Consider the following 16119-nt stretch of genomic DNA (forward strand, 5'->3'; position numbering starts at 1 on the left):
TGTATCTCAGCGAGTCGCCCCCACTCTCCACAGACACCTTGCCCCCCAGCACTGACACCTCGCACACTGTTGCACTGCCGTGCCCTCAACCATGCTGTTTCCTTGGCCAGGGGTGCCCTTTCCCTTCCCTGCCTGGCAAAGTCCTGCTCCTCTTTCAAGCTGCAGCTCAGATGTCCCTTGTGCTTAGAGGCTTCTGAAGCCTCCCCAGCCTGCCCTTCTGCTGGCTTTGTCTGCATCTGTGAAAGCCCTCAGCACACTCTAGCGTGGCTATTTGTGTGGAACTCCCCATTGGTCTATTAATTTTTACTTATTAATCTTATTAATATTGACATTATAATTAACAGCGATTTTAGTGTCTCTATTATACAAGACTGAGGAGTGCTAATGTGAGCTATGGTTTGTTGACAGCCAGCCTCTTGCCCGAGCCTCTATTAGGCACTTCAAGTGCATGGCCTCCTGTGAGACCTTGCAGTGATTGTCCTGGAGAGATGGCATGATCTGCATTTGACAGAGGAACAAGCTGGGCCTCCATCTCTGTACCAAGCATGGTGCCTGGCACAAAGGCGGCCTCAGCAAGTGCTTGGTGGGTGAGTGGGTAGATGAGTGGATGGGTGAGTGGATGTCAGATGTCCTGCTGGGTCCCCTCCCCTTGGCTCCCTGTCCTTCCTTTTGTCACTGAGGTTGGTACACATGGAGCTGACTTCCCCAGCCAGAACCACCAGCACCCCAAAAGCATCTTAAGCCACAATTAAGGTGATCATGCCATGCTAATCACCTACACGAGTAAATTAGTCTTGTCAAGAGCCATTAAGGTGGGAACCCGGGATTCATTAGGATGGATTGGTCCCAGGCAGCGCCTGGCACTGCTGCCAGTCGGTGCTGATTAATTTCTCTCCAAACTCCATCAATGCCCAGCTGTTTCTTCTGGACCCAGGGAGAGCAGTTTTCAGGTGGGCTGACCCCGCATCGGCAGTCTCTGCAGACGGAGGAGCGGTGCGCCTGCAAGCAGGCCGGCAACTCCCCGCAGGAGCAGCCCCTGTAGAGCTGAATGGGAGGCCAGGGAGGGCAGATGGTGGGCTTTGTGGGCAGCCAAGGCTCAGGAGTGACGAGCATAGATGCTGGCAGGCACGGAGGCATAGGTGAAAGAGGAGTCTGGGAGGCATTGGGGACTTTTCTGGGACTAGTTTCAGCCCTGGTGCTCCAGAAGGAACTGTCCCTCCTCCCTGAAACCTCCTCCCAATGTCCCTTTAAAGAGGAGAAGCATCTCTTGGGAGAGGGTGGAGAACCACAGTGGGAGAATTATTTTTCTCTTAACCAGAAGGTTGCTTAAGATTGACACAGGTGAGAGGGGTCATGGTACCCCAGAGCTGTCCCACAGCGAGGGCTGGTGGCAAAGCCACAGGAATTGTGGGGCTAAAGGGACGGGGATGGGAGGAGTCCAGTGGCTCCCGGACATCAGCTGGGTGTGTGCTGTCTGCATAGTTAGGGCTTTTCTGCCCACCGTGTTCACAGAGGTGGTATAGCCTGATAGATATCAGCTCTACGAAAAAAAATATAGGGGGTGTTAGACAATAATAAGTGCCCAGGAGAAATAATCAACTTTGGTTGGAGTTAAGATGGGAGGTAGACAGTGGGGGTGTAACAGTCTGTATTGTCCACCTTTGCCTTCACCCTCCCCTGAAGTGTTCTCAGAGGGCCCAGGATGGACTTGTAGTTTGAGAGCCACTGTTTTTATCAAACATTCCCACTTTGAAGATGGAGAAAGTGAGGCCCAGACTGCCTGGATGTGAATCCCAGCTCTGCCTCTTACTAGCAGTGTACCTCACTTTCCTCTTCTGCAAAATGGGAATAACGTTCAGTTTACCTCTTTGGGTTTATGTGAATATTAAACGAGCAAATTGTAAAACCCTTAGAACTGTGTCTGGCCCATAGAAATCCAAGCTGTAATTTAAACTCGCTCGCTTGCTTTTAAGCTCCTATAAACATATTTTCGAAAGGAAACTTTAATGTGTCAGACAAGCTTCCTGGTTGCCCGCTGAAGAAACTGCCTCTGGCTGTCCTTTCTATTGGAAGGCTGCTGGAGGCTCTTGGAATTGACCACAACAAAAGAACCTAGACTGGAAATTGGCCAATCTGTCCAGCCGGTCACTGCTGTCACTCTGAATGAATTCTACCACTCATGGCACGGGCAGCAGTGTCCAGGTGGCCAAGCCAACTTGGGTATGTGTCTGTGCTCAGGCTGCAAAGGGGCAGGGGATAGTGACTGTCTGCCCCTCCCAGCTACACCCAATGGGACAGTCTCCAAAAAGAGGAGGGGTGGAACTGGACACAGCACCTCCATAGAAAGACAGATGTCCATTTTCTACCATCAGAGTGAAATCCCAGGGCTGAGATGCTGACTGGCTTTTCCTAACACATATTAAAATAAATACATACTATATTTTTTTTACATTTTATTTTTTTTTTTTTTTAGAAACAGGATCCCTATTGCCCAGGCTGGAGTGCAGTGGCGCAATCATGGCTCACTGCAGCCTCAAACTTCTGGACTCAAGTGATCCTCCCACCTCAGCCTCTCAAGTAGCTGATTACAGGCTAATGAAGCAACACCTGGCTAATTTTTAATTTTTGTGTGTGTGAGATAGGAGTCTTGCTATGTTGCCCAGCCTAGTCTCGAACTCCTGGCTTTAAGCAATCCTCCTGCCTTGGCCTCCCAAAGCACTGAGATTACAGGCATGAGCCACTGCACCTGGCCCCTTATTTTATTTTTAAACTTTTTACTTTGAAATAATTTTAGACTTACGGAAAAGTTGAAAATTGTACAGAGTTCCCATATACCCTTCACCCAGCTCCCCATAATGTTCACATCTTGCATAACCATGATACAATTATGGAAACCAGAAAAATGACTTTGATGTAATACTATTAATGAGAGTTTATGCAAATTTTATCAACTTTCCCACTAATGTTTTTTTTTTCTGCAATTAAGATGATTTTTAAACTTCTTTTTAAGCTGTGGAACTGTTTGGGCAAATGTAATCTTGCCCAGAAGTCTAGGATAGATAGATTAGATAGATAGATAGGTAGACGGACAGATGCACATATATACTTATATTCATTCGTTCAACAAATGTTTCCTTGAGTGTCTTCTATGCATCAGACACTGTTCCAGGTATTGTGCATGCGAACAGAAGAGACAAAAATCCCTGTCCTCATGGAACTGACATTCTAGAGCGGGGAGCAGGCAGAAAGCAGCATAGAAAAAAATATATACAGTATGTTCAATTGTAACAGGTGCTAAGGAAGAAGAACCATCTTTGGTAGAAATTAAAGTCACGGGTAGCAGTGAGGGGTGAAAGAGCCTGTATTTTCCACCTGTGCATTCACTCCTATATTAAATCAGAGGACCCATGAAAAACCCCTGGGGCCTCCTGTCGGACAGTTTGTGACCACTTTGTTAGACAAACAGTTGCACAGATGGAGAAACTGAGGTGGAGAATGGGGCGATTGCCCAGGGTCCCTAGTGAGTTACTGCTGGGGTCCGGATTGCAGCTGCCCTGACTTCGCACACCAGCTGCAGAGGGAATTCCAGGGTTTCTGTCCAGGCAGTCACTGGTGCCTCCAGGCCTGGGCAAGAAGGGGCGTCCTCCTGGGTTGGTGGGCTGTGAGCTCGGGAATTGAAGTTTGGAGAAGAGTCTCCAGGTGCCTCGCAGCTGCTGGGATCTGGAGCTAGAGCGCTTAAGGAGGGGAAGGGAGGGTAGCCTGGAGGCTTCCTGGGGCTGTTGGCAAGTGGGCTGTGGTTTTGGAGGAAGGAGGTGATCTAGTATCCATCCAGGTGATCGGTGCTGGAACCAAGGGACCCAGGGCTTTGGGCTCTTGGTGCCCTCACAGAAGGGAGGACTTTTCTCTCCCTTCTAGGAGTTGGGGGATGACTGACAGAACCCCCAGGAGGGCTTGGGTGCTTCTGCGTCCTTGCTTCCTCTCTGCCATTATCCAGGGCAGCATAGGCCCTCTAAGGTGATAGAACAGACTGTGTCTTCTTGGGGGTCCTTTGGGCTGTAGCCACTCCCAAGCGGTCCCTGTCTGGGCACATCTGGAGCCTGTGGCAGCCCCGGCTATGGACTGCCCCTCAACACACAGGTGTGGGTATGGGGCGGGGCTGGTGTTTTGGATGCGGCCATAATAACACTAATGATAATGATGATGTGCCACCTGTCGTGTGAGCATGCCATTAATGCCAGGCACTGAACACCTGTGCCAGCCTGTGCTGGGGGGTGGGGTAGGGACATGCACATTAGAGATAACTGGGGAAATAGTGACTAGCTTTTATTACATACTTAATCTCTCTAGATCAGCCGTTCATACACATTGCTTCGTTGAATTCTAACAGCAAAAAAGTGAGTCTTATAACCCTCATTTTGCAGTTGAGGAGCAGAGGCTCAGAGAGGTTAAGTAACTCACACAGGCTCACACAGCTTGTGTAGAGTCAAAATTGAACCTGAACCTATCGCCCTCTGGCCCCAAAGCCTGTGCACTTAACCACAAGTCTGGGATTCTGTATGTAGGTCTTTGCTTTTAAGGAGCTCCAGTCTGGAGTGGAGAAGAGAACCAATGGTAAATGACCACCTCACACCAGGCAAGTGGGAGGCATGAACTACAGAGCCTTGCTAATGCCCCGAGGAGGAAGAAACTCATCCTGGGCACAGGGACAGAGAAATCTTCATAGTAGAGGTGGCCTTGATTGGTTGGGTTTTGATAGGCTGAAGCTGGAGGGGAGGCATTTCACAAGAAGGCAATGGAACAGGCTGACCAGCTGTGAGGCAAGCAATTTGTGTTGTGTCTTGAAGTTGTTGTGGTTAAAAATGAAAATAACAATAGTAATTATTTAGCCCCTGTGTTTTACTAGTTAGGTTACCTGCACAATCTTGTTTAACCCTTACAGTGATGACAGGAAATCTGTTCTAGTACGATCACCTTGTTCCAGGCTCAGAGAGAGATCCAGCAAGCTGCCCAAGGTCCCATAGCCAGTAAGCAGTAGAGTCAGGATTTGAATTCCACGTATTCAATCTCCAATGACCACACTCTTACCGCCCTGCAATGCTGCCTCCCAGGATTGTGTAGGGTCTTTCCTCAGTCTGTTACCTAGGAAAGAGCCTCAGTGGCCAAGGGTCCACATGGGGCAGGTGCTGGGTGAAGGAGCAGCTGCTCCTAAGGAGGGGAGGTTGGCCAGCCCAGCTCAATCTGGGAGACCAGGCCCCGGACTGGGGCCGGTGCCTGAGTCCCAGGCCTGGCATTGCCCCTATGCAACCGTGTGAGCCTGGGCAAGTCAATTTCCCTGTTCAGCCCTTGCTTCCCTGTTTCTCAGAAGATGCATTCCTTGCTGGATATACTATGCAGAGTTAGCAAGAGTGCTGAAAATGACTTTGGGGAAAATAGATGAAAGTATGAGATTAGTCAGCTTGCTTGCTCCTGGGTCCACAGCCTTTTCCAGTGACCAGTGGTGATGGCGGTGGGGGTCTCGTCCAGCTGTGCAGTGGCCAGGAAGCAGGCACCCCCTTTGCAGGGGTGGGGGGCTGACACATGAGCCTGGCACAGGTGTGCCATTGGGACGAGGATGTGCTGAGCTTGCAGCCAACCGAGAACACTTGGACTCCCTAGTAACTGGCAAAGGTGTAATTTACAAGAGCTGAATACCCTCCAGCTGGCTGAGGAGACGGGCAGGCAGAGCCGACTTTGAACTTGTCATCACTCCCCTCATCAGGACTGTTCTTTACACCCCTCAGGGGACCTGTGAGCCTGACTGTCCAACAACAGCTTTGTCTGGAATAGGAGATCAAGTTGTTCTGTCAGCCCTTGACCAAGAAAGGGCTTGGATGGCCAGGAAAGTTGTTCTTTGGTGCAAGGATTTCCTTGAAGGTCCCCTCACCCATGTGCCTTCCCTTCCTCCTTTCCACATCTGAGCACAGTGCATGGAGTGGGAGGCACAAGGCCTGGGTTTCAATGCCAGCTCTGCCACTTATTAGCGTGTGACCACAGGCAAGTCCCTTAACCTCTCTGAACCTCGTTTCCCTCTTCTGGAAATTGAGATGATCATACTTGCCTGGACAACCTCATAGGGAGCTAATGAAAGAGCTTTAGAAGTGAAATAGCTGTACAAATGGTGGACATTGTTTTTATTGAGCAATTCATCTTTAAATGCTTCCTCTTCCAAGAAGCCCTCCTTTGCATCTTTAGCAAGTGTGGACTGTATCACCAGCTACTTCACCTCTCTCTGTCCCAGTTTACTCAGTTCAAAATTGTGGATAATGATCACACTGTATTTACTAATAGAGCTGCAGTGAGAATTAAGTAAGTTAATTAAAGTAAAATTAAAGTAAGATTAAAGTAAGGGTTTTTTGTTTTGTTTTGTTTTTGTTTTTGAGATGGAGTCTCGCTCTGTTTCCTGGGCTGGAGTGCAGTGGCGCGATCTCGGCTCACTGCAAGCTCCACCTCCCGGGTTCACGCGATTCTTCTGCCTCAGCCTCCCAAGTAGCTGGGACTACAGGCACCTGCCACCATGCCCAGCTAATTTTTTGTATTTTTAGTAGAGGCGGGGTTTCACCGTGTTAGCCAGGATGGTCTCGATCTCGACCTTGTGATCCAGCCCGCCCTGGCCTCCCAAAGTGCTGGGATTACAGGTGTGAGCCACCACACCTGGCCTTTTTTTTTTTTTTTTTTGTGAGATAGGGTCTTGCTCTGTCACCGAGGCTGGCACGCAGTGGCAAGATCACAGCTCACTGCAACCTCGACCTCCTGGGCTCAAGTGATCCTCCCATCTCAGCCTCCCAAGTAGCTGGGACCACAGGTGTGTGCCACCACACCTGGCTAATTGTTTTTTAAATTTTTTTTGTAGAGATGGGGGTCTCCCTGTGTTGCTGAGGCTGGTCTTGAATCCTGAGCGCAAGCAGTCCTCCCACTTTGGCCTCCCAAAGTGGGGGCATGAGCCACTGTGCCTGGTTAAGTCAGGTATTTTAAACCGTGCTTGGCAAATAGTAAGCACTAGGAGAAGTTAACTATTATTATTTGCGGTGGTGCTGTTGTCGGCCAGTGCTTTTCCCAACTAGGTGAGAAGCAGCTCGGGGACAGGAATGATATTCTATGTGGCCAAAGCCCACTGTGCTGCCACGTAAATATGTGATGTGGTTTGATGCGTTACTCTTCCAAGGGACATTTTCACTCTCCAGGAGGAAGAGGCCTAGAGGCTCCTGGGCCCACCTCCTAGCCTAACCAGGAATCCCCTTAATGCAGCTGCCTACCAACAGGTGGTGCAAGCGCTGGTGGGCCCTGGCAGCGGGCAACTCTACCTCTCAGCAGGCAGTGAGCACCACCTGCTACTAGCAGGCTGACTGCCTCCTGCTGTTACTACCCCTGGCCAGCCCCAGAGCTCCCTGGAGGCAGCCTGTTCTTCTTCATACGGTGGCTCTCCAGGGTCTGCAGGGCTTTCCTAAGTCTGCTGTTCTTTATTCTAGAGGTGGCCAGCTCTTGTAGCTGGTCCTTATCCACAGACTTGGCCCAACTTCTCCCTCCTGGTCACCTTCCTGTGTTCCAGAAATTGTGCTAGGGATGTTTTGTGTGCCTCACTCATTTAATCCTCACAACGCCCCATGAAGGAGGTAGTTATGGAGCCCATTTTACAGACAAGGAAACTGAGGCTTAGAGAGGTTGCTGCCCACCCAAGGGCTCATAGGCATTAAGCTGCTGAGCTGAATTCAAGCCCACATGTCTCTCTCTCTCTCCATAACCAATGCTTTACTCTTCTTGGCACAGAACAGAGTGGATGAAGAGGAGAAACTTCCAGCCCAGGGGCTGGTACAGGGTCCCCACCTACCATCTTCCTTACTTGCCTTCATAACACGGTGGACAGGGCACAAGATCCTCCAACCTTGGTCCCCTCTGGCCGTGTGCCCTTGGGCAAGGGAGAGGATGTGCCCTGGTGTCACAGCACCGCCTGTGGGCCCTCCTTTCCTGGGCTCTCTTGGCAGCAGGACTGTGTGCGGCGGGAACCCGCACACTTGCTAGGATTGATTTGGCCTTTGAAAGGATAATTCAAGATGAATATGCTGGCGTCCGACTGGAGTGAGATGGAGAGATTATTGAGTGTTGAACCTGCTTTGCCGCATCGGCTGCTTTATGAGCTCTCTGGAGAAACCCTATGTTGTAGATAACTCAGGCCTGACGGGCCAGGAGCGGCGTTTGTCTCCCACACTCTGGAGTGAGCAGTCCGACAGGGCCCAGACACCCTGCTCGCCCCATCCATGAGCCAAGAATCAGCTTCCAGCCTCATCGCGGTGCCAACCATTGTCCCTCCCATCCTGCTCATCCCAGCCCCGTCTCTTGCCCTGTCCTGCTCCTGAATGTGGAGTTGGGGCGGTAGTGGCCAGCTGGTTGGTTCCTGCTGTGGTCCCTTGCTCCAGGCTGCCTTGGACAGTCCAGGAAGAGCAGAAGTGAGTGGGCAGAGCCTGTGGACACATCTCTTTGGTTTCTTACACCTGTCTCCCCGACGAGTAGCCCAGCCTGGTCACTAGGGACACCACCTCTGCATATTCCTTGGGATATCAGAAAGGATCTGTAGTGCAGGGACTTAGTGCACTATTGGGAAACAGTACACACAGAGGCATGAGGCCAGGGAAGCAAAGCCCCTCGTGGGGACCTGGAAGTTCAGTTCAGCTCAACTCTGTCCACCCTGGGTGTTTGTCCTAATCAGCCACTGCTCCCTCCACCCCTGCAGCCACACAGTATTCTAGGGGACCATCAGGAGACAGGGAAGAGTCCAAACCACAAACTCTTTGGAGGCCGAGCCCATGTCTTTGAGCCTTGTTAGGTGGGATGGCCTGTAGTGTGCACCACACTGACAGTGGGCATGATGGCCTTTCTCCCTCGGAGTCCCCTGGGGACTTGGCATGGGGTGTGGCACACAGAAAGGGCCAGTTCTATGGGTGATGCCTTAAGTACCTGTCAGCCCACAAGACATCCATCCTGGGCTGTGACAGCCTTAGGCTGGGGAAGCCTTTTCTCCGGAAGAGGTGTCTGGAGAGGGAATGACGGGAGACACACAGGGACAGCAGGGGCCTCCCCACAGCGGGAGTCTGGAGAACAGCGCCAGGGTGATCCTGAACAGACATTGCCCTGGGAGTGGTGCACCAGCCTTCTGTCATCTTTTGCACGATCCATGTCTCCTCCATGCTTGTACATCTCCATGCACGGTCCATCACCTCACAGGACAGCGCGGCCACCGCGACTTGGGCTGAGAGTGGCTTGCAAGCCCTGTGCCGTGTTCCCACACATTAGGTCCTCATCGCAACCCCGAAGGCCACCCTCACCCCCACTTTATAATGAGGAAAAGCTAGTGACTTGTGCAAAGTCAGAGCGTTCATTACACATCAGCACCAAGGTTATAGTCCAACCCCTGGGGTGTGGGCTCATGTTGGCAGTGCCCGGCTTCTTGGAATCTGCATTTCCAAGAAATTCTTCAGTAATGTTGCTGTGGCTGGGCCACTTAGGACCGCTGCCCTGGCCATGCAGCTTCCTAGCCTCCTGAATTGGCTCCATGAGTCTGGGGTGAGTCCTCCATCACCCGCCTGGTCAGCTCCTGGCAGCGCCTGCCCTTTGGGCAGCATGCTGGGCTTGGGGACCCACCTGGTCGTTTCGAGAGTCCCCTGCCTGAGACATCGCCTGTGTCTCTGAAGCTCAGCTGGGGCTTATCATCGGATAGCAGATGTGTGAATTAAGAGGGGGCCCATGGGGGAAGGCAGGCCCGGGAGGCGAGGTGCTGAGATGCCCAGTGCAGTTCGCCCCTGCCCGGCCCCGCCTTGTGTGTTTACACAGAGTGGTGGTGCAGCAGTGGACATAATTACTCCTGACGGCCTTCATTAAAGACTCTGGAACAATTTACAGTCAATTAAGGAGAAAGGAACTGTCTCCCTCTTCAGGCGCCCCACCGCCATCTGCTTTAGAGGGAGCCCTGCTGGAGCTGTGGGTCAGTGGAAGTGGGGCTTCAGGGAGGAGGAGAAGGAGGAAGAGTGGGGCTTCTGAAGCCAGTGAACCCGCTGTCCTCAAGAGTGAATGGTCAAGCCACCGGTCACCACACTCACAGTGTGACGTGAGAGGCCATGTGCCAAGGAGCAAAGTGCTCTGCACCCTGGCTCTGCCCTAACGCATGCAGAGACCTGGGGTGGTTCTGTCACCTCTCAGAGCCTCAGCTCTCTTATCTGTCAGATGGAGCTGGTCAAGCATTCTCTGCAGATCTGTTTTGATTGTTTAGTGAAATAATAAATGTGGCCAGCACAGGGCCTGGCCCCCACCAGGTGCTCAGTGATCAGGATGGCAACTCCTGTTGTACCTGGGAAGCCGCACCTGCCCCTGCCTGCACAGGTGCTTTTCAGAAGCAAAGGCTCTTCATATGTCAACAGTCCTAGGTCGGCCTCAGTCCCCACTCAATCTTCAGACACAGGCAACCAGAAGATACACGTGGGAGTGCTTCTTTGGGCCAGGCCTCCACCCTCAGAGAGCCTGGGTCCAAGAGTGAACAACCTCTTCATTGGCCTAAAGGCCAACTCAGGAAAATTTAAATGCTTACCGGCTGCATTTCCCCCGTCTAAAATGAAAATCGCTTCATTGAATGCCATGGGGAGGGGGGCGTATATTTTCACAACCTAGATTACCTACTTGATTGACTAGAAATGTGTCAATGAGAAAACTGGTACTGCTTCTTAGCTCCCAAAATATAAATATCTGAGTCTATTTGAGAAATGGCAGTAAAGAGGCCGCGTTCTGAAATTAGATCGGGACCATATTGAGAAAGAAGGCAGGCTGCCCGGGAGCCCAAGGGTGCCTGTCCCTGCTCCAGCCTGGTACCCTCATTTGGTGAGATGGCACATGACATGTGACATATGCCCAACACAGAGTCTGGCACACCATCAAGGCCAGTAAATCCCAGCCTGTCCGCACCCGGCTGCCAAGAAGTGTTTTCCTTTCCTGAAATCCAATTATTTTCTGCCCAGTCCTCTGCCCATTAAAAGAGTAATGAACAATGGGTTGAGGGCCACCCCGCATCCCCTGCCATTCTTCCTGCTCCAGAAGGCACCTTTCTCAGGAGCCCCTCTCTGGGTCCCCACAGCGCTGGGAGAGGGAGTGCTCAGCAGGGATCGCTGAAGGGAGGGTGGGGGAAGTTAGTATTCCCTTACCTGCCATCTCTCCTGCCAGGGTGTTCTTGTCTGTAAATTAGGACAGTGACTCTCTTGTTACCAAGCATCAGTGGGTGTGAAGTTCCCTGGGTGTCTGAGAGCCAGGACCCAGAGATCAAAGACATCTTCATGGTAGAACTTCACCTGTTTTGCCTGAAATTTGTCGGCTGAGTTTCTCATTCTGTGTCTCTCCATCTGGGCAGTGTCCTGCCATCAACAGATCAAAACCTAGGCCTGCTGGGGTTCCCTACACTGGCCACTTCTTTGTAAGGAAGGTGTAGATGTTTTCTACCCAATACCCAATCCCTGGAGTCCCCATTAGAATATTTTCACTAAATCAACACCTATAGGACTTGCTCTCCATCCATAACTACTATAAGCCCTTTTAATCCTTATGACAACCTGTGAGGAAAGTACAATTATCATTCCCATTTTATAGATAGGAAAATGGAGGCAAACAGAGTTGAAGTGACTTACCCAAGATCATGCAGCTAGTGAATGGGAGTGGGACTGGGATTTGAACTTAGGCTGTCTGGCACCAGCACCCATCCTCCTAACCAAGGTGTTCTGCTACCTGCTAATAATAATAATGACAGAGTAATAGCAGCACCTGGTTATTGAGCACCTATAAGGTGCCAGGTGCTTTATATACATTATTGCATCAGATCTTTATGATAACCCATCATGTAGATATTTATGTCCGCCTCTGTGTGGCAGATGAGGAAACTGAGGCTCAGAAAGAACAATGAATTTGCCCATGATCATAGAACTAGTTAACAGTGGAGCCAAGACTGAAATCCAAGGCAGCCTGTCTGTGTCTCCCTACCTGCAGGGATGGAGAAGATGGTCCAGCAGTCATTCCCCCACTGGTCCTGCTGCACTTCCTGGATGCTCTGGCTCCAAGGAAGAGGGGTCTTCTGAGGCCCACCAGGTATCAGTGATGAGGACTTGTCTCATCTGGAAGCAATTCTGCTCAGCCCCACTATGCTGGAGCCTGGGTGGATGACTTGCTGTCAGTTCCCAATGATGCCAATGTCAGGGTGGTGGGGAGGGGGCTGGTGGGAGTGGGAGTGAGTGGGTAGAGCAGGACAGCAGGCCTCCTGTGGATGACTGATTGTTGGCCCAGCTCATGTGTTCCCATGTGCCTCTTACTGGTGGAAGCTAGATCTCTTTATCAGTTAAATCAAATACTAATGACAGGAAAGTAAGTTCTGTGAAGTCTCCTTATACTCTGACACTCCTAAGTTCAAATCCAGTCCCCCTTTCTCCTGTCCTTCTGACTGTGTCCCATAGAGCTCATGAGAGCTGTCACTTATGGAGGGCCAATTAGGTGCCAGGACTATGTATGCATGATCTCATTCAGTCCTCACAACAACCTAGGATGAAGACACAGTGATTCTATCTCCACTTATTTCAGTGTGAGATACTTCAGGCATGCAGAAAAGTCTAGAGCTAATACAGTAGTCATTAGCCACGTGTAGCTCTTTACATGCAAATTAATTACAATTAAATAACGTAGAGTTAACTTTCTTACTCACACTGGCCACACTGCAGGTGTTGGGCAGCCACATGTGTTGAGTGGTTACTGTATTAGGCATTGTGATAGAAAGTGTTTCCATAATGGCAGTGAAGTCTGTTGCACAGCGCTGGTATAGAGTTGTATTTTATAAAAGAGAAACAGACTCAGCTACCTGCCCAGAGTGACTCAGCTGGGGGCAGGCAGCCCCTGAAGGAGCTCCTGTGGTCTTGACCAGTGTTCTCAATGCCTAGCTATCATCCCCTATCCCTAAGACAAAGGACATTCTCTAGCCACGAGGCATTTGAGGTACAAAGAGGCAGTGTGACCTCCCCAGGGTCGAGAGACTCCTCGAGTGGCCTGGGTAATAGAAACGGAGGGCCCTGAGCCATCGAGTGCCACCGAGTGGTCTGGATCTCTGGCTAGGCCAGCTCAGGGCAGGGGGGTGCCCCCGTGGCTGATAGGCCCACCCCTCAACCAGAGCAGCCCTGCTGGCCGTGAATTTTTACCGCTGTTTACCTGACGCTGTTCAGTCCAGGAATGAAATAACTCTCCCCACAGCTACTATGAATTCTTTGCTTCCCTGGGAAAAAAACAACCCTGTGATTGGAACATTGTCTGCAGTCCTGTCAGGTAGCCGCGCTGAGTGACAGGTGAGAGAAAGCAAACGGCCGAAAGCCATTACCCTCTTACTTCAGTGGAGTTGGAAAAATAGTCATAAATTAGTGCCGGGTACTGAACAAGGGGAGAGGAAGAAAACACCAGAGAGGAAAAATATCCTCCCTAGAAAGTCATAATTTTTCTCCGGAGGGTGGGAGGAATAGGGTGTTTGGAAGGTGATGTCTCAAAAGAGCCTGTGCGTCACCCCGGCCTGTGCTGGGCGGCTCTTGCTGCTGCTCCCCAGGGACGGCTTCAACGCAGGCAGGACATTCCGGAAAAGCAAGAGAGACTTTGCTTCCTCTCACCCACTCCAGGGCCACCCCTTGCAGGGGTGTGCCCTGTGTGTGTATAGGTGTGTGTCTGAGAAAGGGAGAGACTGTGGGTGTATGTGCCCGTCTGTGTGTGTGCATGTGCACACGTGTGTATGAGCATGTGAAGTGTGTCCCTGTTTGCATGTGTATACACACATGTTAGTGTGCCTCTGCCCACATATGTGAACGTGTATACCTGCCCATGTGTGTGAGTCCCTTCCCATGTATATGAGCATGCATGTGTGTATGTACCAGCTCATGTGTGTGTGCTCATGTGTGTCCCTGCCCGTGTGTGATAGTAAGAATGTGTACCTGCCTGTGTGTGTGAGCCCCTGCCCATGTGTGAGTGTACATGCATGTGCATGTGAGAGTGTGTGAGTGTGCCCCACCTCACGGATATGCGTGTGTCCCTGCTGATGTGTGAGTGAAAGTGTGTGTGCCTACCCACGTGTGTTTGTCCCTGCACATGTGTGCATGTGTGAGTGTGTCCATGCTCATGTGTATATGAGAGTGTGTGTCCCTTCTCACAGTGTATGTGCGAGTGTATCTTTGCTTGTGTGTATGTGCATATGTGAGTGCGTCCTTGTCCACATTTGTGTGTGTGTGTAGGTACTGATGTGTTTGTGGGGTGGTGTCCCGCTTACAAACACACCTCTGCCTTCTTGCGTGGTATGTGTTTAAGAGTGTGTGACTTCACCTTTATTTCATACTTTGCTTCTTCTATATATTTGTAGCAACCCACATGGAAAATCTCCGCCCATTGACAAGACAGCATGAGGGGTGTGTGTGTGTGTGTGTGCACGTGCATATATCTGTGGGGTTGCAGACTGCCTTGGAGACTGCTGTTCATTATAAGGCTGGAATCTAGGGAGAGCAAAAGACAGCTTGTGAGCCCCACAGGGATGGGTGTGCTCTACTCAGGGTTGTCATTACTTAAAGGACATTGCCTCTATTTTCTTTGTGGAGCCAAAGGTGTTTCTCCGCAGAGGATGCTAGCAAGAGCTGCAAGGAGGGGCTGGGCACAAGGCAGAATGGCTCCGCGAGCCCCTTCAGAGACCCCAGAGGGAAGAGGGAAGGACCACCCAGGACCTGGGCTGCTGGGTCCTAAGACCTGAACCTCAGTTCAGTGTATTAACTGTACAGACATAAACGTGTGAACTTGAACAAGAACATTTTGTAGGTGATAATGTATGCCAGTGGTTCTCAGGCTTCCGTGTGCATGAGAATCCTCTGGAAGGCTTGCTGAAACAGATGGCTGGGCCCGATCCTCAGAGTTTCTGGTTGAGCAGGTCTGAGGCGAGGCCTGAGAACTGGTATTTCTAAGAAGCTTCCAGGCGATGGTGATGCTGCTGGTCTGGGGAACCCACTTTGAGAACTACTGATGCACACCTCTGACAAATCCTTTAACGCACCCCCAGCACCACCAGCCTGTGAGGTTGGGTGGGAGGCAGTGCGCCATAGTGGTTAGGAGCAGAGATGAAGAGCACAGGAGCTGACTGGGGGGTTCAAATCTGACTCTGCCGCCACCACCTGTGTGCCTTTAGACAAGGTTCTGAACCTCTCTGTGCCAAGGCTTCCTTGTCCATGAAGTGTGGAGGATGATCATATCTACTATACAGGGCTGATGTGCAGAAACTTAGTGCGTGTAAAAAGCTTAGACTAGTGCCTGGCACCTAAACAGCATTATGTGTATCGGCTCATGTTATTATCCCCACTGCGCAGAGGAGCAAACTGAGGTCACACTTCAAGTTAAGGCAAAGCTAGAATGAGAACCCAGGTCCCATGACTCCCGGCCAGTGCCTCTGCTCCCCACTTCTCCCACCCTGGCCTCCTCAATTTTGCTTTATGGGAGCTCTGGCCTACCCTAGCAGATGCTTCCTGAGCCTTCCTTCATGGGGAAAAGTGGGCAGACACTTAATTTCTTCCCTCTTAGAGAGGAATTGCGGGCGAAACAAACCCTGATGGAAGCTCTGAGCTCTGCCCCAGCCCACACGCTCCTTGCTGTCCACCTGTGACCTGGCCCCCTGTCCTCCTCTGTCCCCAGTTCCTCTAGCTCTGCCAGTAAAGCTCCTGGCTCTGCCAAGCCCTGGAGCTGCCAAACTTGAGACTTGATGGCAGGAAAGAGTATGAAAAGACAGGGTCCCGCTGTGGGGCCCTTAAGCCAAATCCTTAACACTTGGACTTGAGCCTGGGTAATGGTGAGCCATGGCAGGTGCTTGGACATGATAAATGCAGGGTCTTTGAAGCATTGCTCTCTTGGTGTCACTCCTCAGCTCAGAAACCTTCAGTAGCTCCTACTGCCCACACATCAATCCCAGGCTCCTTGGCTTACCAGGCCAGGCCATCTGTACTAGCATCCATGATGCATGATCCTTCCAGCCTGTGTGGATGCTTGGTCCCCTAAAAAGATTGC

At 51.1% G+C, this 16119-nt stretch overlaps 1 protein-coding gene across 5 annotated transcripts in view, besides 2 other annotated features; it reads left to right on the plus strand.

Moving 5' to 3' along the window:
• CDH23 (cadherin related 23) overlaps window positions 1-16119 on the plus strand; it is a 419028-nt gene that overhangs the window by 55470 nt on the left and 347439 nt on the right. The gene's annotated exons all lie outside the window — the stretch shown is intronic.
• Window positions 10819-11010: a silencer, noted in NCBI's record as "fragment chr10:73222965-73223156 (GRCh37/hg19 assembly coordinates)". NCBI's record gives its function as "represses an EF-1alpha promoter that drives an FKBP-Casp9 reporter gene in an ReSE screen in phorbol 12-myristate 13-acetate-treated (for megakaryocytic differentiation) K562 erythroleukemia cells {active_cell/tissue: K562(+PMA)}" and the evidence as "EXISTENCE:reporter gene assay evidence [ECO:0000049][PMID:32094911]".
• Window positions 13383-14104: an enhancer, noted in NCBI's record as "H3K4me1 hESC enhancer chr10:73225529-73226250 (GRCh37/hg19 assembly coordinates)". NCBI's record gives its function as "activates a minimal SCP1, AML or CMV promoter by ChIP-STARR-seq in primed H9 embryonic stem cells {active_cell/tissue: H9 hESC(primed)}" and the evidence as "EXISTENCE:reporter gene assay evidence [ECO:0000049][PMID:30033119]".

This window comes from Homo sapiens, chromosome 10 (assembly GCF_000001405.40).
Source record: "Homo sapiens chromosome 10, GRCh38.p14 Primary Assembly".
Classification (NCBI taxonomy): domain Eukaryota; kingdom Metazoa; phylum Chordata; class Mammalia; order Primates; family Hominidae; genus Homo; species Homo sapiens.